The sequence below is a fragment of the Homo sapiens genome, chromosome 18 (genome assembly GCF_000001405.40).
Source record: "Homo sapiens chromosome 18, GRCh38.p14 Primary Assembly".
NCBI classification, from domain to species: domain Eukaryota; kingdom Metazoa; phylum Chordata; class Mammalia; order Primates; family Hominidae; genus Homo; species Homo sapiens.
In genome coordinates, this window is record NC_000018.10 from 48817576 (window position 1) to 48842599 (window position 25024).

Genomic DNA, 25024 nt, shown 5'->3' on the forward strand with positions numbered 1-25024 from the left:
GACCATCCTGGCAAACACGATGAAACCCCATCTCTACTAAAAATGCAAAAATTAACCAGGCGTGGTGGTGGGTGCCTGTAATCCCAGCTACTCGGGAGGCTGAGGCAGGAGAATTGCTTGAACCTGGGAGGTGGAGACTGCAGTGAGCCGAGATCGCACACTGCACTCCAGCCTGGGCGACAGAGCGAGACTCGGTCTCCAAAAAAAAAAAAAGGGGGCCCATCCTTCAGCAAAGAGATGTGCAACAGCAGTCACTTCTGCTCCCCAAAGCCAGGTCTTTCTTCGTTGGGTTTATATAAAGGGAACCAGCACCCCCTTCCCCCGTGGGGTGTTGTGAACTGAGGCTCCAGTCATTCCCAATCGGGAGCACTGGCTGCAGAGGGGAGGCCTATGGTAAGTGTTGTCTCAATGAGCGATCTTGGAATTGGATTGGACTGGTTTGCCACTGGATTATTTATTCTATGAAAACATATTTTCTTCTAAATTTCATCTGAAAAAGAAAGAAACAAGAATGACCAAGGAACTTTTGAGAAGCAGGAATTTAGCAGGTGGTTGCACTGCCAGATATTATAACTCACTTTCTACACCCCTCTGGCTGCTGTCAGGGGAGAGAATTGAAAGGGGGCAAAGTGGAAGCTGGAAGCCGAGTGGGGCTGCTTAGGCTGCGCAGCAAGAGGTTGGTGGCTTGGAAGACAGCCTCGGAGTGAGGGCGAAGAGCACGTTTAGGCTCTAGTTGAATTTCTGAGTTAGAGCCAGCAGGACTCGGTAATGTGAGTTGGAGGGAAGGGAGGAGGGGACATGGGCTCCCCGTTTACCAGCCTGGTGGCCCCATTTTCTGAGATGGAGGATACTGGATGAGAAATAGAATGGGGATGAAAAGCAAGAGTCAGTTATGTTTGAGTCGCCTGTTAGCTGTCCCTAGGGAACTGCCCGGAGGTTGGCCGGGTGGAAGGGTCTAGAGATCCTGAAGAGGTCACGCATGGAGGTAGGGGATAGAGGGTTCTGGGAAGTATCGATATGCACCTGGTGCTCAAAGCTGGGGACCAAATGGAACCACGCAGGAAGAGAGTATAGATGGAGAGGGAGAGGAAGGGGGCGTGTAAGAACCCTCACAGCAGCCCTTCACTGGGACCTGGACGCCTCCCCCATGTTGTACCCTCCCACCACCGGCAGGCCTCTGCAGGGGCTACCAGGACACAAGGAGGAACAGCCTCCTGAGAATCAAAGGACCAGGACAGAAAAGTGTCCTGGGTTTGGCAACAAGCAGGTCACGGGCCCTGGGTGTCAGCGGAGGTGAGGACAGGAGTGTGGACACGTCTTTCGAGAAGTTTTTCTGTGAATGGCAGCAGGGAAGGAGAGCTGTGGGGTCAAGGGGCATCTTTATGGTTTTGAAAGAAAGACAATAATAGAGCAATTTAAGAGAAGGGAGGGAGTGTATTTATGAGTGTTTTTGAAGCATCCGTTTATAGAACAATAGCATGCTCATTCCAGACAAGCACAGAGCACACAGTTCTCTCTCGGGTGTTTTGTAAACCCATGAGCCTCTGCCACTCCATGTACCCAAACCACATTTCTTAACAAATGCACTTGAAATCAGATTTGTTTCGCAGATTCAGACAATGGCCTCTCCTGACTTTGTTTCACTCTCAAAGTGCCTTGAGCTCAGAATGCAGCTCCAGGAGGGCTGGCAGCTCTGCTTTTTGCACCCTTTGGAATGACATGGAGGCTAGGAGCGGGCCTGCGTGGCCTCTTGGGTCCTCCCATCCTTGCCTGCATTGCCCTGTGCCCTGGACAACCCACCTCGAGACAGGGAGCAGCACTGTTCTAGGGCAGTGACCTGAATTGCCCCAACACGTTCCCTCTGCGTGATCTGGACACCTCCTGGTGTTGTCGTCACCTGCTCCTCCGAGAGGGAGGCAAGGCTGTAGCCGAGCGCCGGCCCTGGCTGCTGGGACACTTTTAACACCGCCTGAGGTAGTGCAAATATTCCAGTGTGAGATCCGGAGGTGCCAGGAGATGTGTGCAGACAAGAACAAAGAGCCACGCCTAACGCACACTTGTTGGATGCATTCAAATTTTCGGGCCAGTTTGACAAACACAGACCCATCCAATGCTCATGGTAAACTTGAAGAATAAATAAATCACCTATGGTCTTCTCCAATTTGTAAAAGAAGAGGGCAGAGCCCCATGTACCAAGCTAACTAGGGCCGGGCTGCAGCAGGGTTCACATCCTGGCTCTGTTGTTCATCAACTGCACCACGTTGGGAAGCATTTACCTGCTTTGAGCTTTGGCTTCCTCATCTGTAAATGGTGCTCATGCTGCTTTCTCTGCAAGGTGCAGGGAGGGTGGCAAGGCATGGAGAGACAGCTAAGTGCACTAGGGACAACGAGGCCGGAGGATGGAAGGAAGTGCCCGGGGCACGGCGTCTGGCAGAGAGCTAGTTGTCATCTAGGCTGATGGGGCCTAGGGGCTGAGCACATGCCTAATCTTAAAGGGCTACTTGGGCTGAGTGTCCTGCCCAGGGACAAACAGCTGGTCCATGCCAGAGCTGGTCTGGAGCTCCTGAACTCCAGGTAGGGCTCTTTCCAGGAGAAATCTTGGCTTCCCTAAAACTGGGCCAAAAGAAAAGATGGGGACTTAAAGGGGTGCCCTACGGATCTCAACAATCCTTGTGAACAGCCTGTTGCCTTTCGCAGCTCCGTAGGGACCCCTGAATTCTTCAAGCCATTTGCTGCCTCATAACCAGGCTTGACCTACATCCCTAAAGCAGGTTGAGCCGGCTTATGGAAGTTTCCAGAGCCAAAGGCACAGCTGCAGCCCCCTCCATGCTGGAAAAGCTTAGGCTTTCCCCCTGGGGCCATGTAGATGTCTGACCCCAAATCCACAGCACCCACTTTGCCCTGAGATCCCCCCAACTCCCAGAACCACCCGCAGGCCCACATTTCCAGCTGCCCACTACACCTGTCCCAGGTCATACCTCAGGACCCTCCAAAAGGATGTGGTCAGAACTGCACCCCAAGACCCCCTGCTCAGTGCAGCTCTCATGCAGGCCCCCACCCATGCTGCCTGCCTCCCTGCAGCCAGGTAGCAGCCCCAGAACCCACGCCACGGCCTTTCCGCTGTCAAGTCACTCACTCCATCCCCTGCGTCTGTACCCCCGGGGCTCCCCTGCAGTGCTTTCCTTGCTGCTTCTGAGTAAAACCCAAACCCACAGGCCATCTCTGAGTGAAGGGTCTTGCTGAGGGTGAGGACAAACCCAAGGGATAGATGCAAAGTCCTCACCATCCAGCCCGTCTGGGGGTCCTTGTGCTCACAGAGGCCCCCTTCATTCTGAGGTCCAAGCTTACTCGGTCCCCACGCTCCTTTAGCTCAAGCATGTGCTTAGTCCCCAGGCGCCTCAGCCTGGAGGACACCCAGCTCTCTGGGAGTCCCTGGGGACATCCTTTCACACCCTGACCTCATCAAATTAACCATTCTTTAAGTTACTCAAGCTTGAAACTTTGGAGTCATCTCTGCCTCTCTGTCTTCCTGTCCCTGACACTTCTTCCTAGGCCCAGTTTGAAGTCACCTTTTCTGTGTGGCACCCCCTCAGCACACCAACAGCTTCCTCCTAAGGGACCTGGAAGTGTCCTCTGTCCTTACTGCTCCATCCTCACCCCAGCCTCTTCACGTTGCCTTGTAGTAGTGTTCAGTAACGGTAGCAGCACATCTCACTGCATGGACGCCTCCATCTCAATCGAGTGCCTCGTGTGTTCTTTTCTCTTTTAACTCAGACAGCACTTTGAAGATTATCATCCCCATTTTTCAGAGGAGAGCAGAGAGGTCAGGCAACTTGCTCAGGGCCACACAGCCACCAAGCGGTAGAATCAGTCCTGGAATCCAGATCTGACCACCCCATTTCACTGCCTTGCAGGCAGAGCAGGGGCTACTCTGTTTGTTTTCTTGGTGCATAACTCAGCACCTATATGGTAGGATCCCAGTAGATCTTGGTGGAATTGATTCCATTTTTGCCCCAACTAACATGCCAATCAGAGATCCTTCTTCCAGAGATGAAAAAGAAGAATTTTCAATGTGTGCTTTTCTTGTTTAAGAACAAATAGTTTCTGCCGAGGTGGTTTTCAAAGTGATTGAAGAAGATTATTGGTCATCTGTAGCTGCAGGAGTCTCCTTGCTCTGCTATTTACAACTCATATTTGCTTAGCAAGCTCCTTTTTATTTTTTAAATATTTTTGAATTTCTATTTTTAGTTTTACTGTGGTAAGGATACTGAATATGGATCTACCCTCTTCACAGGTTTCTAAGGATAAAGTACAGTATTGTATCCATAGCCATAATGTTGTGCAGATCTCCAGAACATATGCATCTTGCATAACTTAAACTTTCACCCATTGATTAGCGACTCCCCATCTGCACTTCCCCCTAGCCTCTGGCAACCACTATTCGTTGCTTCTTTGAATTTGACTATTTTAGATACCTCATGTAAATGGAATTATGCAGTATTCGTTCTTCTGTGACTGGCTTATTTCATTTAGTAATGTCATCAGAGTTCATCCATGTTGTTGTATATTGCAGTTTCCTTCTTTGTAAAGGCTGAATAGTATTCCATCGTATGTATATACCACTTTAAAATTTTTTTCTTGGAGGTTAATATTTGTACATATTTATGGGGTACATGTGATATTTTGTTACATGCATAGAATGTGTAATGATCAGGTCAGGGAATTTAGGATATCCATCACCTCGAGTATTTATCATTTCTATGTCTTAGGGACATTTCAAGTCCTCTCTTCTAGCTATTTTGAAATATATAATGCATTGTTGTTAACCATAGTCACCCTACTGTGCTATCAAACATTAGAGCTGATTCCATCTAACTGTATGTTTGTACCCATTACCCAACCACTCTTCATCTCCCCACCCCCACCCCCAACACACACACACACACACACACACACACACACACATTGTTTTATCCATTTATCTGCTGATGGACATTTGGGTTGTTTCCGTGTCTTGGCTTATTGTGAATAGAGCTGCAATGAACATGAGAGTGCTATATCTCTTCAAAATCCTGATTCAAGCTCTTTTGGATAAATACTCAGAAGCGGGATTGCTGGATCATATGGCAGCTCTATTTTTAAGTTTTTGAGGACCCTCCATTTTGTTTTCCACAGCAGATGCACCATTTTGCATTTCTACCAACAGTGTACAAGGGTTCTAATTTCTCTCCATCCTTACCAGTTTGTCTTTTGTTTTTTTTGCTCACAGCCATTCTAACAGGTATGAGGTGATATCTCATTGTGGCTTTAATTAATTTGCATTTCCCTGATGATTAATGACATTGAGCATCTTTTCATATACCTGCTGGCCATTTTCCATGTCTTCTTTGGAGAAAGGTCTATTCCAATTCTTAGACTAGTTTTAAATTGAGTTATTAGGTTTTTTGCCATTGAGTTTTAGGAGTTCCTTATATATTTTGGACATTAACTCTTTATCAGATGTATGGTTTGCAAATATTTTCTCCTGTTCCATACTTTGTCTTTCTCTCTGCTGATTATTTCCTTTGCTGTGCAGAAGCATTTTAGTTTGATGCAATCCTACTTGTCTATTTTTGCTTTTGTTGCCTGTGCTTTTGGAGTCATATCCAAAAAAAAAAAAGTGTCCAGACCAACGTCAAGATGCTTTTTCTTTATGTTTTCTTCTAGTAGTTTTACAGTTTCAGGTCTTATATTTAAGTCTTCAATCCATTTTGAGTTGATTTTTGTATATGGTATGAAATAAGAGTATAATTTCTTCTTCGTGTGGATATCCAGTCTTCCCAAGACCGTTTATTGAAGAGACTGTCTTTTCCCCATTGTGTGTTCTTGGCACCTTTGTTGAAGATCAGTCGACTGTAAATGTGTGGATTTATTTTTCGACTCTCTATTTTGTTTCATTGGTCTATATGCCTGTTTTCATACCAGTACCATACTGTTTTGATTGCTGTAGCTTCGGGATACATTTTGAAATTAGGAAGTGTGATTGCCTCAAGCTTTGTTCTTCTTCACTCAAGATTGCTTTGGCTATTTGGGCTCTTTTATATTTCCAAGTGAATCTTAGAATTGTTTTCTATACTTCTGTTTTTAAAATGCCCCTGGGATTTTGATAGGGATTGCATTGAATCTGCAGATTGCTTTGAATAGTGTGAACATTTTCACAATATTAAATCTTCCAATCAAAGATCAGGAATAACACAAGGATCCCCACTCTTACCACTCCTATTCAACATAGTACTGGAAATCCTAGCCAGAACAATTAGACAAGAAAAGGAAATAAAAAGCATCCAAATCTGAAAGGAAGACATAAAATTGTCTCTGTTTGTAGATGACATGATCTTATATATAGAAAATCCTAAAGACTCCACACACACACACACACACACACACACACACACACACAAACTGCTAGAACTAATAAATGAATTCAGTAAATTTGCAAAAAACATAATCAACATACAAAAATCCTTTCTATTTCTGTGCACTATCTGAAGAGGAAATTAGGAAAACAATCTTACAATTGCATCCAAAAGAAATACTTAGGAATAGAGTCAACCAAAGAAGTAAAAAACTTGTACACTGAAAACTATAACATATTATTTTAAGACATGAAAAAAGACACAAACAAATGGAAAAACATCCCATGAGCATTTTATAATAGCATTCTAAGGACCTCTTTCTCCTGCCCAGGTCCTCAGCCTAACTGTGACTATGAGGGCTGCACACACAGGAGGGGTGCAATTATTGTTTATGGCCTGAGCAAAGGGTTGTCATCTCCCCATCAGCTGGTATCTCTGAGCCAACATGCCAGGCTGTGGGTCTGGCTTGTCTAGAGCCTTCATTCCCTGACCCTACAATGCTCTCCACCTCCTCCGCCTCTCCGTGCCTCTGTGATCCCGTGGTGTTGTTGTGAGGCTCTTCTAGGTTATCATTGAATGCCTCTCTCTGAGCCCCTTACTTAAAGTCCTTTGTTGAAAATTTCTCTGGCAGGGGAATTTTCTTTTCTCTCCTTTTTTTTTTTGTTTTGTTTTTTGATTTTTTCTGAGACAGAGTTTCACTCTTGTCGCCCAGGCTGGAGTGCAGTGGTGCAACCTCTGCCCACTGCAACCTTCTTCGCCTCCCGGGTTCAAGCGATTCTTCTGCCTCAGCCTCTCAAGGAGCTGGGATTACAGACGTCCGCCACCACGCCCAGCTAATTTTTTGTATTTTTGGTAGAGACGGGGTTTCGCCATGTTGGCCAGGCTAGTCTCAAACTCCTGACCTCAGGTGATCTGGCCACCTCGGCCTCCCAAAGTGCTGAGATTACAGGCGTGAGCCACTGCACCCAGCCAAGCAGGGGAATTTTCAACAAAGTTCCATGCGCCTGTTTTCCTCCACTTCCTCTCATCCTCTCTCTCCCCTGAACATCCCACCTTTCTTCTCTCCATCCAATCCCCCCAGCTCATCCCTACCCATAATTCCAACCCTCCTGTCTCTTTGGAGTCCAGCAGCCATAGCCAGAGGTCAGGAGTGGAGTAAAGGAGGAAGGCAGGGCGCTTTCTGCCAGGAATCTCCCATCTCTCTGTACCCACCTCCTGATCCCCACCAACCTCTCCCTCTGGTTGCCCCCTGGCTCTTCTCCCCTCCAGGCCCCAGAAATCCCATCTGCCCCTCCCTGCCCTTTCCAAGGGAAGGGCAGGGAGAGGGCAGATGCCTCTGAGGGGTGTCTCTGAGGGGTGCCCCCAAGGGACACAACTGGCTGCGCTCCTAGAGGAGGTGGGCAGGCACAGGCCAGGGAGGAGAACACAGAGGCCAGCAAGTCAGGCTTCTCAGGAAATGAAATTGCTCTGTGCAACAATGAGAGAGCCACTTTTTAAACTTTTTGCGTGAGTGTGCATTCAATTGCTCACATTGTTTTGGCTCCAGGGGAAATCTGACCTCGGAAAAGGCTGAGATGAAGCGGGTGTGGGTGGAGAGCCTCTGCTATTTCACAGAGTCAAGCAACACATTCTTCAGAGGCACCTTTCCAGGCGGACCATTCCTCCTTTCCCAAGAGCAGGGCATTCAGCTACCCAGCAGAGGCCAGGGCAGGACCCACTTTGGCCAGAAGTGACCAAGATAGTCTGTTCCCCAGGGGTAACAATGAACTCTGATGGGGAGCAGAGATTTGCTGGCTGGATCCATGGGGAATTATCTTCAGCCCTGCAACTTGAGAAGCTTTTACTACATTACAAACTCTCAGACCCCTTCTTCAACCAATTAAACCAAACTTCCTGAAAATGGGGTTTGCTCGGCAGGGATATGTAAGCTTTCCAAATGATTCTAATGTCCGGCCAAGGTTAAGGAACATAGTCTCAGCATCCTAGGTGCATTCAGTGAGCATCCACTGACCAGCCAAAAACCCTTGGGTGAGGGGCATAGCCTTAGGAGCCAGAGAGACCTGAGTTTGAATCCCAGCTGTGCCACTTACTAGCCGTGGGACTTTAACCTCATTCTTCCGTCTTTTGAAACCTCGATTTTCTTATCTGTAGCATAGGAATGAGAATAATACTCATCCTGTGGCTTTGTTTTCAGGCTTAAAATAAGCGAGGTGTTTCTGTGAAGCAAGTGGCATATGACAGCCTTGCAGGGAACTGTCAGTTTGTGTGTTGCTGTTGAATACAAACCGTGTTCCAGGCATGGCTCAAGAGAAAAAAAATCGCAACACAGTCAGCCCCAGAAAGTGAGGTCCATTCTCCCAACGGGGCATCCAAGGCCTCCATAAGCAAACACAACCCCTTTCTCCAGCCAAACTGCTCCACTTGTATTTCCATAGGTGGCCTTGCATTCCTCCCACCATGAGAACAATCTTTCTCCTCTTCTTGCCTGGCTCTTGCCCACCTTCAGGGCCGGGCTCACTTCCCACCGCCTCCTCACCCTGCCTGGATTCATTCCTCTTACAACATCCTATAGAACTAATGTCCACCCGGGGCTGTCAACGTCTGTCTCCAGATATGCTCTTTGCCAGGTGGCTGTATTAATGCCTTGTGACCCTTTCTTGGTTGCTTTTAAATCATTTCAGTCTTTCGTTGCTACCTGGGGACAGGCTAGGTCTCATCTGTCATGGAACCCCGGCTGCATGTTGCTCGGAGTCTGTGCTCATTCAACAAGCAATGATTTAGTTTGAGACAATGCTTCTTATTGAACTGCGAAGTTTCCTAGTAGTACCAGAAGGAGGGATATAAGTTGTGATCCTTCAGCGAAGAGCTTGCAATCCTCCTGAAATTAAGCAGCCATGAACACTTATGATGGATTGTAAGCTGGATGAATGTGGGGAAATGGAATGGGGAAGGAGGTGGGGAGCCGCCGGGGACAAAGGGCAGGGGAGCTGGGGCTTAAGGGAAAGTGGATTGTGGACAGGCATGGGGGAAATGGGGAAAGCCTCCAGGAAGGAGCCTTTGAGCCAAGGCGTGGGGGCCAGAATAAGCATGGCCCATCTGGGTGGTAAAGAGAGGGCCCGATGAGCGAGCCGTGGCCAGCTCCGGCTCTCACCAGAGGTGTTCTAGTGAATGCAGGATGACTCCAAGAACCTTGGAAAGGTTTTAAGCCAGAAAGCAACACCATGGAAGGAACAAAGGAGCATTCCTTTATTCATTCAACAAACAATGAGAAAAATGCTACTTCCTTATTAAACTGGAAAGTCTCCTGGACACATTGCTTGCTAGAAATGTGCTGAGATAACAAAGTCAACTAAATCTGGAGCAGTCTCTAGCCAGAGGAGCCCACGGGTAACTCAGTGCCCGGAGGAGTGCAGTGCTCCAAATAAAGCGTGGGCAGGAGAGGGAAGGTGGGAGCCCAGATGGAGGAAGAGGCGAGGAGGCAGGAGAGCCACCTCAAAGGGCATCCCGGCAGAGAGCAACTCCCCAGCTCCTGATTGCCTTTAAATTTGTTCTGACTGTAACGGTCAAACAAAAAGACTTAGCAGGAAGTGAAGGGCTAGAATGCAGCTTGAAAAATCAGGAGAACCTTTCTGCATGAACAGTTTATTCCAGCCCTAATCTTAGGCACAGACCCCGCCTGGAATGTTCCTCTGAGAATGTAGCCTTCCTAGGGCCAGGTACCCAGCCCCTGGGCACTGGCTTAGCATCGGAGTCCCTGCAGGGCCAGCAGCTGCTGCTATGAATACCCCAGCTTAAGCGACCATTCCTGTAACCTCCGCCGAAATAACTTCCCACCCGCTTTGTCCCCTCCAGAGCTTTCGTTCCCCTCTTCCGCTCAGCACACACAGTGAAGTTAACTCAGCGGGGTGACGCCGACCTACCCAGACCCCCACGCCCCAAACATACACACATAAACACACGGAAGCGGCCCCATCTGAAGCTGCCTGGATCCTTGACCTCCTCAAGATAGAACTGGAGTCTCCCACCCACCCCACCTCCACTCCCGACCCTCTCCCCAGCCCCCACCCTTTGACTGTTCTGCTTCCTTAGCCAGACTCTGCAAACTGAAATGTGAAATTTGAAGCCAGTGTTCCCCTTAGCAACCATGGTAACACAGGATCTGATAGAGAGCCTAGAGTTATAAAAATACCAGCTTCCACCAGACACTGGTTTCCAAAGGGAAACCAGTCTCCAAGCCAGAACCGTTTTTAAACAGTCTTAAAACTCAAGAGATTTCTAAACCAATCTCAACATGGCTCAGGAGGACATCTCTTTAATCCTGTTTTGGAAGGTGGTGTGGGTGCAAGCTTTGGGTATTTTCTCTGAAATACAGAGATTCAGAATGCATGTGCTCACGGGGGAATTAACTAGCCTTATGAAGGGTATATAGCAGGGAGCAGTTTTTCCTAATAAACATCAACTATTTGGCATTTTTTCATAGATTGAGCTGCCCTGCTGACCCCCAGTGAAATCTTCCTTCCAGTTCCCTCCCGGGGAGTCCTCAGCTCCATCCATCCTCCTAATTAGGGAGAGAGAATGATTTCGCCTATCTCCCCTTGCTTGAAAACAATTTAAATTCACAAAACCATTTTCCAGCCGGAATTCTACTTTAAGGCTTAGGTAGGGAGGTAAGAGATGGTGATGTCAAAACTTTTCTGCTCAGGACCAACAAGAAAAGTCCTACATCCCTGTCCCCAGCCCTTTCTCTCCCCACAGACGCACCCTCGGGCATGGGCCCAGCACGAGCTATAAATCCCTGTTCTCTGCGTTCCCTGCAGAGGGCACAAGCCTGGCGAGTGGGGGCAGTGAGGGCAGTAGGGGGACTCTCCCCAGGGGAGGGGCACCTTCCCAGCCCCCAGCCCCGCCTTCGCAGCCCTGGACGGCTTGCCCTCCCATCTCCTTCCCCCGCCTGCTCCTCCTCCTCCCTCTTATCTCCTGGGGCCATGCCTTGTAATTTTGAAAAATCTTCTGACTGGGTAATTAATGTCTGAACTTCAAGAGGCCCCTGCTATCTGCAGAGCTGAGCTGAAGGTGGGAGGGGACCGGCAGCTGCTGAAGGCTTGGAGGAGGGAGGGGGTGCAGATTATTTTTTCTGAGCTGTTTAATGGACGGGACTGGGGAGGATAGAATCGTACCTTGCCAGAGTTGTGGGTACAAGATGTATATGTACACAGGCACAAGCATCCGTCTAGATTTTTAAATCCTTTGGGGTAATCCTTTGGGGTTAAAATCACACAGTAGGATGCCCTCCTGCTCACACACCCTCACCGTCCCTTAGCAGTTTCCCAGCAGGTGGATGGCAGCAAACACTAGGGGAGCCAGGCTGGGGGACTTTCTGAGTGCAGGTCTGGTTGGGAGGACTGGTTGGGAGGGAGGGACAGTGACTTACACATTTCAGAGATCATAAACCGGGCACTGGGGGTGCAAAAAATGGCCATCAGTTACTCCAGGTAACTCAGAAGTCAAAATATAAGCCTGCCTGTTTCCCACCTTAAGGGAGGATCCAGGCAACTCTGCAGACGTCTGCAGAGCCCCCCGACCTCCGTGCTTCCCAGAGTGGGCCCCCGCCTTGCCCAGCCTCCGTGCTCCAGCACAGGTGCCCTCCATCTAGCAGTTGGGGTGCCGAGTGCTGGACCCACTGCTAGGCCCTGGGCATAAGCACGCTGGGGTCCCTGTCCTCACAGAGCTGCTGTCTCCTGGGGAGAGGAGGAGCAAACGGTGCCCTGCACTAAGAGCCGAGGGTGAATAAAGCACACACAGCTCTCCAGGACCCCTGTGGATCTTTCTCCAACCGACTCCAGCTCTCAGGACCTGTAGCTCAAATTAGCATTGATGATATCCACCTGCTGCCATTCTTGCCTTCAGATGTGAATGATGTTTAGGGAACTAACTTTTCTCCTCCCTTCTGTCCACCTCAAGACCAAGCCAGGCTCCAGCTCCTTCTTGATGGCTCTGCTCTCATTGCCGCCAGCACTGAACTGTAGGTCAGAGTGTGGGCGGGGCCAGGCCTTTTGAGAAAGAACCTCCAGGATCAGCCTTCTCTTGTAGCCAGGAAGAGGAGGGGAATGCTAGGGGAAGAAGGTGGGTTTCGGAGGCAGACAGTCTTCTGCAGCTTACCCTCTCTGGCCCTTGGGTAGATGTGTTAATTATTTTTGTTTGTTTGTTTGTGTTTTGAGACAGTGTCTCGCTCTGTCACCCAGGCTGGAGTGCAGTGATGTGATCTTGGCTCACTACAACCTCCGCCTGCCAGAGTCAAGGATTCTCCTGCCTCAGCCTCCTGAGTAGCCGGGATTACAGGCGTGTGCCACCACACCCAGCTAATTTTAGTATTTTTAGTAGAGACGGGGTTTCACTATGTTGGCCAGGCTGATCTCAAACTCCTGACCTCAGGTGATCCGCCCACCTTGGCCTCCCAAGGTGCTGGGATTACAGGCTACAGGCGTGAACCACCGCGCCCGGCCAGATTTGTTGATTATAAATTGACTTCCTCCCTTCCCTGTAGCTCACTGTCTGAGAGGTACACCACCCCCAAAAAACAAAGACATGAAATAAAAGGATGGGTTCACAGCATATTTTATATTGTATAAACTGAAGTGCTGCTTACTGGGAAAAAATGTGGAAGAACACAGTAGAATAAGGCTCAGGACCTTGGTTCACTCTCTGGGAGAAGGCCCTTCTTCTAGGTGCCTGTCCAGGGCTCTGCTCAGAAGTCAGTTTCTCAGACCCCCCCCCGACCACGCCCCAGCCTGTCCCCCCACCACTGTCCCCAGCCTGACTGCCTTCTCTTCATTGCCCTACTAGTGCCTGGCTTGGAGTTTTCTTTGTTAATCGCTTATTTTCTGTCTCTCAACTAGCATGGAAACTCTCTCAAGGCAGGGAACGTGTCTATTCACAGCTGTATCCCTGTGCCTAGAATAGTGCCTGGTATATAGCAGGTCCTCAGTAGATACTTATTGACTGAATTAAGGAAGTAGAGTGCCTAGACTGAGCAAAGCCAGAGACAATAGTCAGCCCTTCTAGAATTCATCTGGAATGATTTCTCAGTGGAGATAAATCCAGAACCCTTGAAGGGGCAATGTGAGTGAGCAGAGTGGGGCTGGCTGGTAGTGGTCCCTGGAGATGAGCTCAGAACGGGAAAGGGAAAAGAAACACCCCCCATCACCCCAGCAAGCAAGCCCAAAAGGGGCATTTGTGCCCACACTGTGAGTGAACCAGTGCAAACAGTGCTCTCAGCCTGCGAAGCTGCCTCTGTTCTGTCCCTGCCTTTGGTTAAGTGGCCTTTTCTCAACAACCCTCCACCGAGCTTCATATGAGATTCAGTCTGTCCAAAGTCAGAATCCCACAAACCACAATCTTTAGGAGAAGTCAGGAGGAGCTTCTAGCAAAGCTCCCTGGACCAAGAGCCCATGGGGAAGGGATTGTTGTGGGGGCCTGGGCACCTGCTGTACACTGTGACAGCGCTCAGCAGGGCCCTCCTCACTGCCCCTCCCATGAGGAACGGAGGAAGTTAGGAGTATGTGCAGGGGGCACGAAGGGTGGGAGAATGGAGTGGGTGGGAAAGGACACCCACAGTCACAGACCTTGAAGATGACGGAAACCTTGACAATTACAGCAGAATTCACCTATGGAGCAACATGGCCAGTAACAATATAACGTGAGCCACGTGTAATTTTACATGGCCTAGTAGCCACATTTTAAAAAACTGAAAAGGGAACAGGTGAAATTAATTTTATGCTGTCTAATATATCCAAATAATCACCATTTTAACGTGTAATCAATATTAAAAAGTACCAATGAGATATTTTTTACGTTCTTCTCTTTTGGTACGAAGTCTTTGAAATCCAGTCTGTAGTTTACACTGAAAGCAGCTCTCAATTTGGACTCAGGCACATTTGAAGTGCCCAAGACCACATGTGGCCTGTGGCTATTACGCTGGACCAGGCGGTCTGGAGGCAGCTTCTGGAATCCTCAGGCTTTTGGAGCAGTTCTGGACCCCTAAAGTAACTGGATTCCCAAAGTCTCAAAAGTACTTTTCATAGCCTCTCATAGCACCAGGCAGCAAAGGGGCACCATGAATACTAAAACCTCAAGCTCACAGCCAGTGTGCGTGTGGGGGCTGCCTGGCTGGAGAGCTCCCTGCAGGGTCTGGAAAACGTGGTCCTTCTTTTTTTTTTTTTTTTAAGACAGGGTCTCCCTTTGTCACCTAGGCTGGAATGCAGTGGCACAATCAGGACTCACTGCAGCCTCAACCTCCCAGGCTCAAACAATCATCCCACCTCAGCCCCCCAAGTAGTTGGGACTCCAGGTGTGCACCACCACCCCCGGCTAATTTTTTGTATTTTTAGTAGAGACGGGGTTTGCCATGTGGCCCAGGCTGGTCTCAAACTCCTGGGCTCAAGCAATCCCGCCTCAGCCTCCCAAAGTGCTAAAGAGGGGGAAAAGGTAGGAAAGAAGAAACACATAGAAAGGGAAGAGAAGGGCTGTGGCAGGGGTGGCCAGTTGCGTGACAGGGATAAGAGAATCCACGGATAGGGACACAGTGCTGGGCAGGGCTGGGCAGCTGCCACCCTCTCCTCACAGCAGCTCGACAGAAATCGTGGCCGAGTGTGTGGAAGGCACAATTAGCTCATTCTTGCATTGCCCCTTGATTACACAGGACTACCATTTCTGTAATTAAGACCTTCTCCCTTACTCAGAAGTATTGAAACATGAAAGTATTTGCTGAATCTGGTTTCCCAGGGTTAAAAGCCAGACTTAGGAAACGCAAACACACTTGTGGAAATGCAAACACACATTCAGTAATTAATTATCCTTTAATTAAGGCCAAAACCCTGCTGAAAACAATTAGCTCTAGAAATTGAACAGTAGGTACAGCTCCACTTTTTGCTGATTGTTCTTTCCTGATAGTCAGGAAGTGCTGAGTCTGGGGGGCGGAGGTGGTAGGGAATGAATTAGTCTGCCGCTTTTGGTCTGGACTGGACCAAGCTCTACTTTTTTTGGAAATGTTAGTCAGAGGAGAGTTTGAGGTGTGGGGAAGGGCAAAGAGGATGTGGTTTGGGCAAGGGGAGGCGAGAGGCTGCCCCAGGCTTGGATGCATGCCATGGGAAGTCTCAGAAGCTCCTGCTGGCCACACAGAGGTGGCTTGCCTGGCTGGAGTGGAGGGCGTGGGCCAGGGATTAGCTGACTGGAAAGCAATTAGATGAGGTGCGGCTGGCTGGGAAAATACCTGGAATCCCAGGGCCAGAGTTGAGACTTGCTTGGCTAACGCTGCAGGCGGGAGGCCTCGTGGGGCCTGGGGAGTGGAAGTGCCCACCAGTGAGGGTGGGAGGGTAGCCGTGTGGGCTGCGAGTCTTGGATGCCTCTTGCTGATGCGGAGAAGTGGATGAGTACAGATAGTGTGGGCTCGGAGGTCCTGCAGCCCTCTGGGAAAGATGCCCTCTTTCCCATTTCCTCTCTCTAAATGCCCCCCTGCCCCCGCCGCCCTCCACCTCTCCTCAGACTCCTTGGACGTTCCTAAAGCCTGCCTAGTCCCATCAGATCACCTCACCCCTTTCCTAGGTAGGAAGATGTAGGTGCACAGTGTCCCCCTTCCGGGGACTTTCACATTTTGAAAGGAGGGGTGGGGAGAGAAAAATGTGTGCCCCAAAGGAACAAAAAGGGTGCTTGGGATTTGGGAGGGGTAGGGAAGGTCACTGGCGCCACCAAACTCTCCCCAGAAAACACCTGCATGCTTAAAAGCTTACCTAGAACCCCCGAAGCCTGGCCTCTGGATGGGGGGCTTCCCAGGTAAGAGCCCCTGCTCTAGAAGTGGAATGTTAGGTTTTCATACAGGCAAGAGGGAAGGTCTTTATTGGTCAGAGGGGCCTTCCAGATCACCCTCAAAGCAACTGTGCAAAAGATTCCAAATGTTGGCCCAGCGCAGAGCAGGACTCTCTCAGATTCCAAAAGCCCCTGACAGCTCATTTTTTCCCCAGAAGGGACCCCAGCTCTTGCACAAACCCCTTCTCTCCCCTTCCCCCTCCTTTCCCCTCCCCTCCCCTCCCGTTCTCTTCCTTTCCCTTCTCTCTGTAGATGAGGGTCGGCAAATGTCTGGTATGAAGGGCCAGATAGTAAATATTTTAGGCTCTGCAGGCCAAGAGGCAAAGCCGAGTTTAACCACATCCCTGCGAGGTGTAGGGCGTGAGCAGCAGCATGTAACCAGGAGAGCAAGCGCCTCCACTCTGTCTTCATAGCGGAAAAAGCAGCCGTAGACGATATGCAAATGACTGAGAGTGACTGTGTGCCAACGAAACCTTATTTATGGACACTGAGATTTGAATTTCATATAATTTGTATATGTCACAAAATATTCTTTGATTTTTTTCCCCAACTACTGAAAAATGGAAAAAACTATTCTTAGCTCATGGGCCATAAAAAGCAGGCCATGGCCAGATTTGGCCGGTGGACTATAGTTCGCCCCTCCCTGATCCCGCTGTGTGGTTCTCAAGTGGGAAACGCTCCTCTCCTCCAGATGGTTTCAATGCACATTAAAGTTTGAGAGCCACTGTCATAAAGGAGAATTTGCAGTTTCCCAGGTGATGCTGATGCCGTCATTAGGGGGATCCCACACTGAATATGCCCAATCTAGTCTGACCTTCACCCTATTTTACAGATGGCAAAACTGAGGCCCAGAGGCAACGTACCTCTATCATATGAGCCCAGGGAAAGGCTTCTTTGTCTCAGGATGCAGAGCTGGGTGGTTTTCTATCTCTAGCCGCCTTCAGCGATCTGCCCTGCCAGCTCACACTGCCCAAGGCTCTAGCCGAGATACAGGAAATGTGGATGTGTCCCCCGGAGCCCGAGAGCAGCAGGGCTGCAGTGAGTCATTTCCCGTGAGTGGAGCTGGCATGCGCTGAGCCTTCCTCGTGCTGTCAGTTCGCTCCCTTCTGACCACTCCAACCTGCGCTTTAGAGGAACTCCCTGCCAGCTTCCGGGAAGCGAAAAGCACCCTCTGTGAGAAGGGAAAAAGGAAAGAACCAAGGTTTGCGTGTCAGACTTGCGTGATTTCAAATCCCATGTTCGTGGTACTGCCTGGGACTTGAAACAAATTCCTTCACTTCCTTGAGCCTCAGTTTCCATCAGTAAAATGAGAAAACAGCCCCTGCCTCTGCGGGGTTCCCAGAAGACCTGGAGATTAAATCTGTCCAGTGTCAGGCACACGGCAGGGAATTTTTATGGTGTCTTTATTGGCCATCCTGGCATTATGCATTAGCCACAAGGGTACCCAGCCTCAACCTCAAAAGCCACAGAAAAAGGCCACCTGATCCTCCAGACAACATGTGTGGCCATGGCTGTGCTGATGGTCTTACAGAGGCAGTCACTGTCCTACACTCCTGAGACATTGCCATTGACGATTTAGGTTGTGCTGTGTAAGGCTCATGTACTTGGGTCCCTTGGTGGCCTTCAGGGTCTGAGAACCCTGAAATTGTATGCAGACATCTGTGAACCTGTGCAGAGGTGCATTTTTCTGGGAGAGGTGCAGATTTTTCATCGAGATCCTCAAAGGGATCCATGCTCCCAAGAAAGCTAAGGATCCCACATCTATAAGCACAGTGCAGAAGGGAGCCCCAGACTTTCAAGGCATATTCCTGGATTTGAGAATCAGCTCCCTGACCCCCATGAGTGGCCTTGGGCACACTGGAGATCATCTGATCTCCCCCCTCTGGCGTGGTCCATAAAGCAGTGATGGGACTATGTGAGGATCAAGTAGGACATGTCAGGCCAGGTGTGGAGAGGGGACTGTGTGGGAGCTGTCGGTCATGGTCCCTTCCCACCAAGCCCCCCACCTGCCCTCACCCCTGACTTGGCTGCCCCCTACTCAACCTTTGGGTTTCCTCTGCAGAGAAGCCTGCCCTGATCACCTCATCCATCCAAAGGGGGCTCCCTCCCAGCTCCCTGTTTGCATTTGTCATTCTACCCCTCTGCCCCCCACTGTAGGTGGCCTGGGGACAGGCACCGGGCTGTTTGGTCCCCATGGCCCCAGGCCCTCTAGCCCATGAACATTTGCTGCAGGAAGGCACAAATGCATACCCCCGCCCTAGGAGCCACTGCCTTGGAGCCCACCCACCTCCAGGCCCCACCTCCCTCCTCCCCCAGCAGCTGCTTCTCTAAAGAGGCAGCTCCCACTGTGCTCTGGAGCATTCAAGATCCCAGCAACAAAGTCAGAGTTAAAAAGTATATTCTGTGCTTCTCCTGGAGCTGACGTGGTCCCATCAGGTGCCCCCTCTTGAGCACAGCCAGCAGCCCCCAGAGAGGCCCTGGGCTGCCCTTCAGGGTCCCCATGCTCAGCCTGGTCTTTTTCAAGGCCTGATTCTAAGGGCTGTGTGGGCCCTGCTTGCTCTGCCTGGAGGACAGTGGGGTCACCACTGGCATCTAGGGGACCCCTCCACCACCCTGCTGCCCCCTAAGATGCGTATGGGGCAGGCCCTCCAGCTTCTCACACCTCAACTCCAAAGGCCTGGGCGATTATGAGGCACCAGTGAGTGAGATCCCCAACCAACCCCATCACTTCAGCCCTCCAGGTCCCAACATCCCACCAGGTCCCCCTGGACTGCCAGCACCTGCCATTCCCCTAGAGGGGCAAGGAAGCAGGGTGGGAAGCCCCAGGAGACTGCCGTTGGTCATGCCCAGGTAAGGATTAGCCAGGCCTTCCTCCTCCACTCCTCTCCTCTTTGCCTGGTGCAGGAACAACCAGCTAGGAGTCAGGAAATCTGAGTTCTGGTGCTGGCTCTGCTGCCACCCAAGCTGTGCCTCTGGTTTCCTCCTGGGCACCGCACATAGATGCCATCTGTGAGTGTGTCCCCTGCTTAGTCCACATCACCTGCCATCAGCCTGCTGAGAGGGCGCCGGGGCCCAGTGGGACACCCTGGGAAATTGTCAGCTACTAGTCCTGCATCCCTGCCCACATTTGGGCTGTTTGTCCCTTCCCATCGCATAAGGAGCGGGGAAGGGCAGGAAACTGAGGCAGCCAGGGTTTGACAGCAAAGCCTGCACTGCCTGGCCTGGGGGCAAAGGAGTGAGGTCCAGAGGTTACGAGCTGCCAAGGACTGGGGACCTCATCTTTCTCCTCCTGGCTCCCATCCAATGCCCAGGGGCTGGGGGGTCTCCTTTCCCGGGGCCTCCCATACACACATTGGTAAAGGGAGGAACAACAGCCTCATGGTCTCGGATCCAAATCCTCATCCCTGTGCTCACGAGAGCCCCTCCCTAGAGCAAGGGAGCACTGGTGCCTGCCTCACAGGGTGGGGGCGAGAAGGGGGCTGTCTAAGGCCCATCAAGCATTTAGCAGGGGCCTGGCACACATCCCCACTCAGAGGACACCGAGACCACTGTTCATGTCACATCCGGGGTTCAAATTCTCAGTGCTGCAGGAACTCAGAGGAGGAGGAGTGGCCTGGGAGCTGGGGAGGGCTGAGGTCTGGGCTGGGGGAAGCACCTGAAGGCAGGGGTGGAAGCTATGGGCCTAGGGGCACCTGAGCCTGGGTGAGCCCAGCCCAAACTGAACAAAGGCGATTAGAGCTAAGAAGAGGGTCTCAGTCATTTATGGAGCCTCTGCCACTCCCATCCACCTGAAGAGACATTTTTCTCAGTGGTGCCCACTCTGACTGCACCAGAAACACCCAGAGATCTTACTATACAGATTCCTAGGCCCCCACAGCCCTACATAGCCCTAAAATCAAAGAGTGAGGGCTGGATCTGTTTCTCTCCTAGGTGGATCCAGTACAAACACAGGGCTGGGAACTACCCACTGGATGCATCCCTCTCCCTGCTCCCAGATGCCCTGAGCCCCTGCCCCCCACCAACCTGTCCCAGCAGCCCTGGGCAACTGGGTGACTGCGAGGCTAAGAATCCCCCACACCCACACCCTCCCTGGTGGGAAGGGAGTGGGGCTGTCTCTGGAACTCTGATTTGGTTTTGCTGTCCAATGCCAGAACGGGGGCACACTGAGGAAGAGAGACTTTTAAAAACAAAGTCCGTCTTCCCTGGGGTTTTATTTTACCTTGGAAAATAGAAGAACTGATTTTTTTTTTTCTACTTTCCCCCAAACTTGCTCCCTATCAGTGTCCCTAAAGTAGGAAGAGTTCTCACTTCTCCAAGTGTGTAGTCTTGGCATTAATTAAAATCCAGAAATGACAGCAACAAAGCACCTGCTTTTTCTTCCTGCTTTTCTCCCAACACCCCGGCACATCAACAGCCCGTCAGCTTGTGGGTAGACTCACATAGGAGCTGGAGCCTACACTGAACTTTCATCCCAGGCGAAATGCCTATCAGAAGGCAGGTGCGCTGCCTTCCCAAGCCAGTGCCCTCCTAGAGTTGAGCGTGCTGGGCTGCCCACGCCTCACGTGAGCCTCTCGGTGCAGTGGCCGCCTGGAAGATGTCTCACCTGGGTCCTTGCACAGGCAGATACTGGAGAAAATCTGAGGAAATATATAGATTGATTTTTGTCCGCCCCCCTGAAACGAGTCCCCTTTATAGTCACACTTCATAGAAAGCACAACACAGACAGCATGTCTGTGCTTGAGGCTGTGGCTGTGCACACTTGGGTGGGCTCAAAGTATATGCATTACTGCACAACCTTTGTCTCCCTCGGGGCCAACACAGAGTTTAGTGTAGGAGCCTTCACTTAGGCACTGTGTTCACCTTTACAGCCTTCTCCAACACTTCATTTATTTGGTGGCCCCTTAACCAGAAGCATATGGAGAAGTTGAGGGATTTGCCAAGGGACAGGCAGCAATAGTGATTTGCCAGGGCAGGCCCTGAAGCCTGTGTTGGTCACAGGCAGATTCAAGGGCAGCAGCAGCCCCCAAACTCTAGATCTGCATCTCAGGCCCAGGCACATCTCCCTGACACCTCCCCGGGCCTGCCCACCAGCCCCTCAATCTCTAAGTGTCCTAGTGGAACCTGTCTTCTGCTCCCCAAGCCTGCACCTCCTCCCGGAGAAGGACCTCCAGGCTGTGCCGGCTACAGCCCCGAGGCCATCCCTGACTCACCACCAACCGCCACCCTGCTGCCAGTTCCCAGGGTCTGTGAGCAGCAGCTCTTGCAGATTTTCTTGAATCTGGCCACCACTTTTCTGCCTCTCCACGGCTCGGCTAGGCCACTGTTTCCTTTCCCCTGAATTACCCCACCAGCCCTCTCACTGGCTCACCCCTCCTGTTCTCAGTCTCACCCTGCCACCCTCTCTCTGAGCACTCCTGACTCACTTTTCTCCCTGCCTGTGGTGTCCTTCCCTCTCTTCCTCTCCTCACCCCACTCTCCTGGCTGTAGCTTCAAAGGTTTCTTCCCAGGAAGCTGTCCCTGAGCCTCCTCTCCTGACCCAGGTGAGAACAGTTCTTCCCGTCACTGACCCCACAGCACACTCTACACTGTGCCACTTGCAGCCCACTCAGTTCTAAGAGCCACCACTGACCGAGCTCACTGTGTGCCAGATACTATCCTAAACACCCCACATCCTCTTCTTTAATCCTTGCAACTACCCTTGGCGGGAGGTAATATTAGTATCACCACTTTACAGGTAAGGAAACTGAGACACAGAGGGGTTGCCTGTATTGCACAACATGACTGGTGGGGCGGCTGAATCAGGATTAGAATCCAGGCAGTCTCACTTTACAGCCTTAGTTCCAAATGCTGATCTGCTTATGCAACATCTGTCTTCCCTCCTAGACTCATAAATCTATAAGGCCAGGATCTGTGCCTCCTTGTTGAATGAGTGAATGAATGAAAAGTTGTTACTACCCCCTTCAGACACCCTGGAGAAGTTGGACTTGTTGTGCTCCAAGGCTTTATGTCACTGGGGGGCTGCATCCCAGGGAACAGAGGCCCTTCCGAATGGCCTCACCCCAGCCAGCAGAAAGCCATGCTTTCTTTCAAATCCAATCTTCAGGTCTTCCGAGAGGCCCAGGTGGACTCAAGTGCCTGTGTGAGCAGTGTGAAGAAAAGCTAGTCTAGGTAGATGCTAGACTAGACCTAGAACTAGGTAGAAGCAACAGTTGCTCCCAGGCTGGGAGTGGTGAGTCTTCTGGCTACGGAGGTCAGAGAAGATCAGGGAAGGCTTCCTGGATGAGGCTCTTACCATTGTTCTTAAGGGATCTGGTCAATGGAGCCAAGATCAGAAAAGGCATGCTCAGCCAAGAGAATTGTCAGCAAAACCCAGAGGCAGATAAGGGCAGGATGCATCCTTAGACCTGTGAACAGACGAGTTTGGGTGGATTGGAGGTCTGTGAAGGGGGCAAGGTGGGAAGACTGTAGGGCCCAGAGCAGAAGTGGCCCAGCGAGCCGCCTGAATGCCAGGCTAAGCCCTCATCCCCATGCAGCCTGGTCAGTTGAACACAGTGAGAATGCACAGGTGATAACAGAATATTGACTCACATGCTCATTCATCCAAAAAGATCATCTCGACTTAGAAAAAGAGTTGCCCCATTATTAAAATTTATATTCTGCTAAGGGTAAGGCTCTAAAGCCAAACAAACTTCCAGGTGCCAATTAACTTCTCTTATCTCCGAGTCTCTTAGACTTGGCAAAGAGTACTTACCAAATCCCTACTGACACCCTGGGCAGCCCCAGGCCCTTTTCTCAGCCCAGGCCTGTCTGCTCCTCCAATGGGTGGCTGCTCCTCTGAGCACAATGCTAATTATGCCCTTAGCACAGCCCGATTCTTCTCTGAACAGTAACAGAGCTTAATTGTCTCCGGCCCAGCTGTCCCTACCCAGTTGGTCCTTGGTTACTGCATTCTGCCCAAACCCACTGCAGAACCAGCTGCACTCCCTCACCCAAAGGATAGCCCTCCAACCCAGCTCCTGCCACAAGGCTTCACTCCACCCCCACCCCCACCCCCACCCCAGAAGATGGGCACCTCTGTCTGGAAACCAGGCTACTACAAGTGTTGATCCTTCTTCAATACAGCATGCCAAGATTATCATGCAAAAAAGAACATGGTTTAAGCAAAGGTTTCTTCAAAATTCCGTGCTTGGTGGCAGAGGAGTGGGCCAGTGTGTCCCTTTTCTAAGTCCTCCAATGACCCTTGCTCGTTATTTATGCCCTCCCTGACTCATGCTCTGTAAAGTCTGAGGTTGGTAAAAGCCCCCTACATTTAAGAGGGCACCTGGTTAATGTAGGCATCCCATAAACAATCTTCTAAGAAGCTTCTTCCCAGTCTCAGGGAACTGTAGGTTGGCATAGCCTTGCAGATAATCTTGTGCCCAGTTGGTGAGCAAGCAGGGGCCAGTGGCTGGAGCGGCCCCTGGGCTCTGGGCATGGGGAGGCCCTCCTTCTGAGCTGATGGGTGGCCTCTGCAGCCGGGCCCTCCCTGAGCTTCCCTCTGGGACAGCAGAGAACTCAACCTCTCTGCCTAGGGCAGCGCCCTCGTGGCCCCGGCTCAGCCCAGCTCCTCTAGGGAATTGAGTGGCTGGACTGTGGTTTAGTCGCCCCCAGGGAAGCTTACCCAGAGGAGGAAAGGACTGTTTCGCAAGCCAGGCCCGGCGTTCTGAGCTGGCCTGTCCGCCCCTGGCATATGGCTGGGCCTGTTAGGAAATCAAGGAGACGCTCTGTCTCTTTCCAGCAGGCGCCACTTCTGTCTTGCCACTGCTTTGCTCGATTCAAGACGCTGGCTCGGGGGCCAGGCTGGTGGGCAGGCAGGCGGGCAGGCGGGCAGGCCCCTCTCCCACCAGCCCGGTGCCTGGGAAGCGCTCACTGTCTCCTCAGCCGGTGTTATCCCAGGGGTCCCGCACCTGGCTGATAAGGCCAGGCGGCTATCAGTGGCCATCTCGGGTGGGAGGGCAGGGTGGCTCTCAGGGAAGGATTCCAGACTGTTTCCTTCTGGGGCTGAGCTCCAACGCCCTTATCTCCTTTCCTGCCAGGCAGGGACTCCTCAGCGCTCACACACAAAAGAGAACTCCACCCAAGACGCACAGCCCCTACCTACTGGAAGGTGGAGGAGGCTTTGCCTCCGGTTTCATTAAATCTACCTGGTTCTCAATCGGGGGCAGTTAAGTGTGCACTCAGCTAATATCAATGTATTTGGTCCTGCCAGGGGGTGGGAGGGTTGGAGAGACGGGGACGTTCAAGTAATGGAGCTGCCTTGGTGGCTGTTTTCGAAGCTCCTGGACTTGTCAGTCAACTGAAACGTCTCTTGGAAGAGAAACAACCAGGGGATGGGCCAATGCCAATTACAAGATTCAGGGGCTGCGGGGATGGGGAGGTCAGGCCTCATGGGACTGAGTAGAACGAGGGTGGTGGGGCCTGAGTGTGAAAAACCAGGCCTCGCTCAGCCCCGCTCTTGGCTGCCTTGAAGCCTGTGAGGCAGGAGGCCTGGTGAGTATTATTCCCGTTTCATAGAACGCAGGCCTGTGGGTGGGAGTGCTAGAGGGAATACGGGAATATATTATAGAAGATGGGTCAACGGAATCCTTGAGAGGTCAGCCGAGCGCCCATTCCTGTTAGCGCGGAAGGGAGAGCCCTGGCCTCACAGTGTTCCCAGGATTAATGTTCCGCCTCAGAAGAGCAGCCTACCCCCAAGACTCTCAGACTTACTGCTGGGCAATGCTTTCCAGAGG

At 51.1% G+C, this 25024-nt stretch overlaps 1 protein-coding gene and 1 long non-coding RNA gene across 26 annotated transcripts in view, besides 8 other annotated features; one reads left to right on the forward strand and one right to left on the reverse strand.

The window, feature by feature from the left end:
* Positions 1–25024, forward strand: part of CTIF (cap binding complex dependent translation initiation factor) — a 324187-nt gene that overhangs the window by 278545 nt on the left and 20618 nt on the right. The window lies entirely within an intron of this gene.
* CTIF-AS1 (CTIF antisense RNA 1) lies at positions 425–24303 on the reverse strand. Of its 2 annotated transcripts, XR_935449.3 has the most exons (3): positions 23914–24303; positions 22546–22657; positions 425–17424 (listed from the first exon to the last, which is right to left on the reverse strand). It is a non-coding gene; the product is annotated as a CTIF antisense RNA 1 (long non-coding RNA). The 2 variants fall into 2 exon arrangements; XR_007066459.1 differs by lacking the exon at positions 22546–22657.
* Positions 3341–3590: an enhancer, noted in NCBI's record as "active region_13299". NCBI's record gives its function as "activates an Ori minimal core promoter by ATAC-STARR-seq in GM12878 lymphoblastoid cells {active_cell/tissue: GM12878}" and the evidence as "EXISTENCE:reporter gene assay evidence [ECO:0000049][PMID:35858748]".
* Positions 3691–3760: an enhancer, noted in NCBI's record as "active region_13300". NCBI's record gives its function as "activates an Ori minimal core promoter by ATAC-STARR-seq in GM12878 lymphoblastoid cells {active_cell/tissue: GM12878}" and the evidence as "EXISTENCE:reporter gene assay evidence [ECO:0000049][PMID:35858748]".
* Positions 15099–15762: an enhancer, noted in NCBI's record as "H3K4me1 hESC enhancer chr18:46359045-46359708 (GRCh37/hg19 assembly coordinates)". NCBI's record gives its function as "activates a minimal SCP1, AML or CMV promoter by ChIP-STARR-seq in naive H9 embryonic stem cells {active_cell/tissue: H9 hESC(naive)}" and the evidence as "EXISTENCE:reporter gene assay evidence [ECO:0000049][PMID:30033119]".
* Positions 15363–15657: a silencer, noted in NCBI's record as "tiled region #14134; HepG2 Repressive non-DNase unmatched - State 16:ElonW". NCBI's record gives its function as "represses a minimal TATA promoter and a strong SV40 promoter by Sharpr-MPRA in HepG2 cells {active_cell/tissue: HepG2}" and the evidence as "EXISTENCE:reporter gene assay evidence [ECO:0000049][PMID:27701403]".
* Positions 18225–19125: an enhancer, noted in NCBI's record as "H3K27ac-H3K4me1 hESC enhancer chr18:46362171-46363071 (GRCh37/hg19 assembly coordinates)". NCBI's record gives its function as "activates a minimal SCP1, AML or CMV promoter by ChIP-STARR-seq in primed H9 embryonic stem cells {active_cell/tissue: H9 hESC(primed)}" and the evidence as "EXISTENCE:reporter gene assay evidence [ECO:0000049][PMID:30033119]".
* Positions 19126–20025: an enhancer, noted in NCBI's record as "H3K27ac-H3K4me1 hESC enhancer chr18:46363072-46363971 (GRCh37/hg19 assembly coordinates)". NCBI's record gives its function as "activates a minimal SCP1, AML or CMV promoter by ChIP-STARR-seq in primed H9 embryonic stem cells {active_cell/tissue: H9 hESC(primed)}" and the evidence as "EXISTENCE:reporter gene assay evidence [ECO:0000049][PMID:30033119]".
* Positions 20296–21074: an enhancer, noted in NCBI's record as "H3K4me1 hESC enhancer chr18:46364242-46365020 (GRCh37/hg19 assembly coordinates)". NCBI's record gives its function as "activates a minimal SCP1, AML or CMV promoter by ChIP-STARR-seq in naive H9 embryonic stem cells {active_cell/tissue: H9 hESC(naive)}" and the evidence as "EXISTENCE:reporter gene assay evidence [ECO:0000049][PMID:30033119]".
* Positions 21075–21853: an enhancer, noted in NCBI's record as "H3K4me1 hESC enhancer chr18:46365021-46365799 (GRCh37/hg19 assembly coordinates)". NCBI's record gives its function as "activates a minimal SCP1, AML or CMV promoter by ChIP-STARR-seq in naive H9 embryonic stem cells {active_cell/tissue: H9 hESC(naive)}" and the evidence as "EXISTENCE:reporter gene assay evidence [ECO:0000049][PMID:30033119]".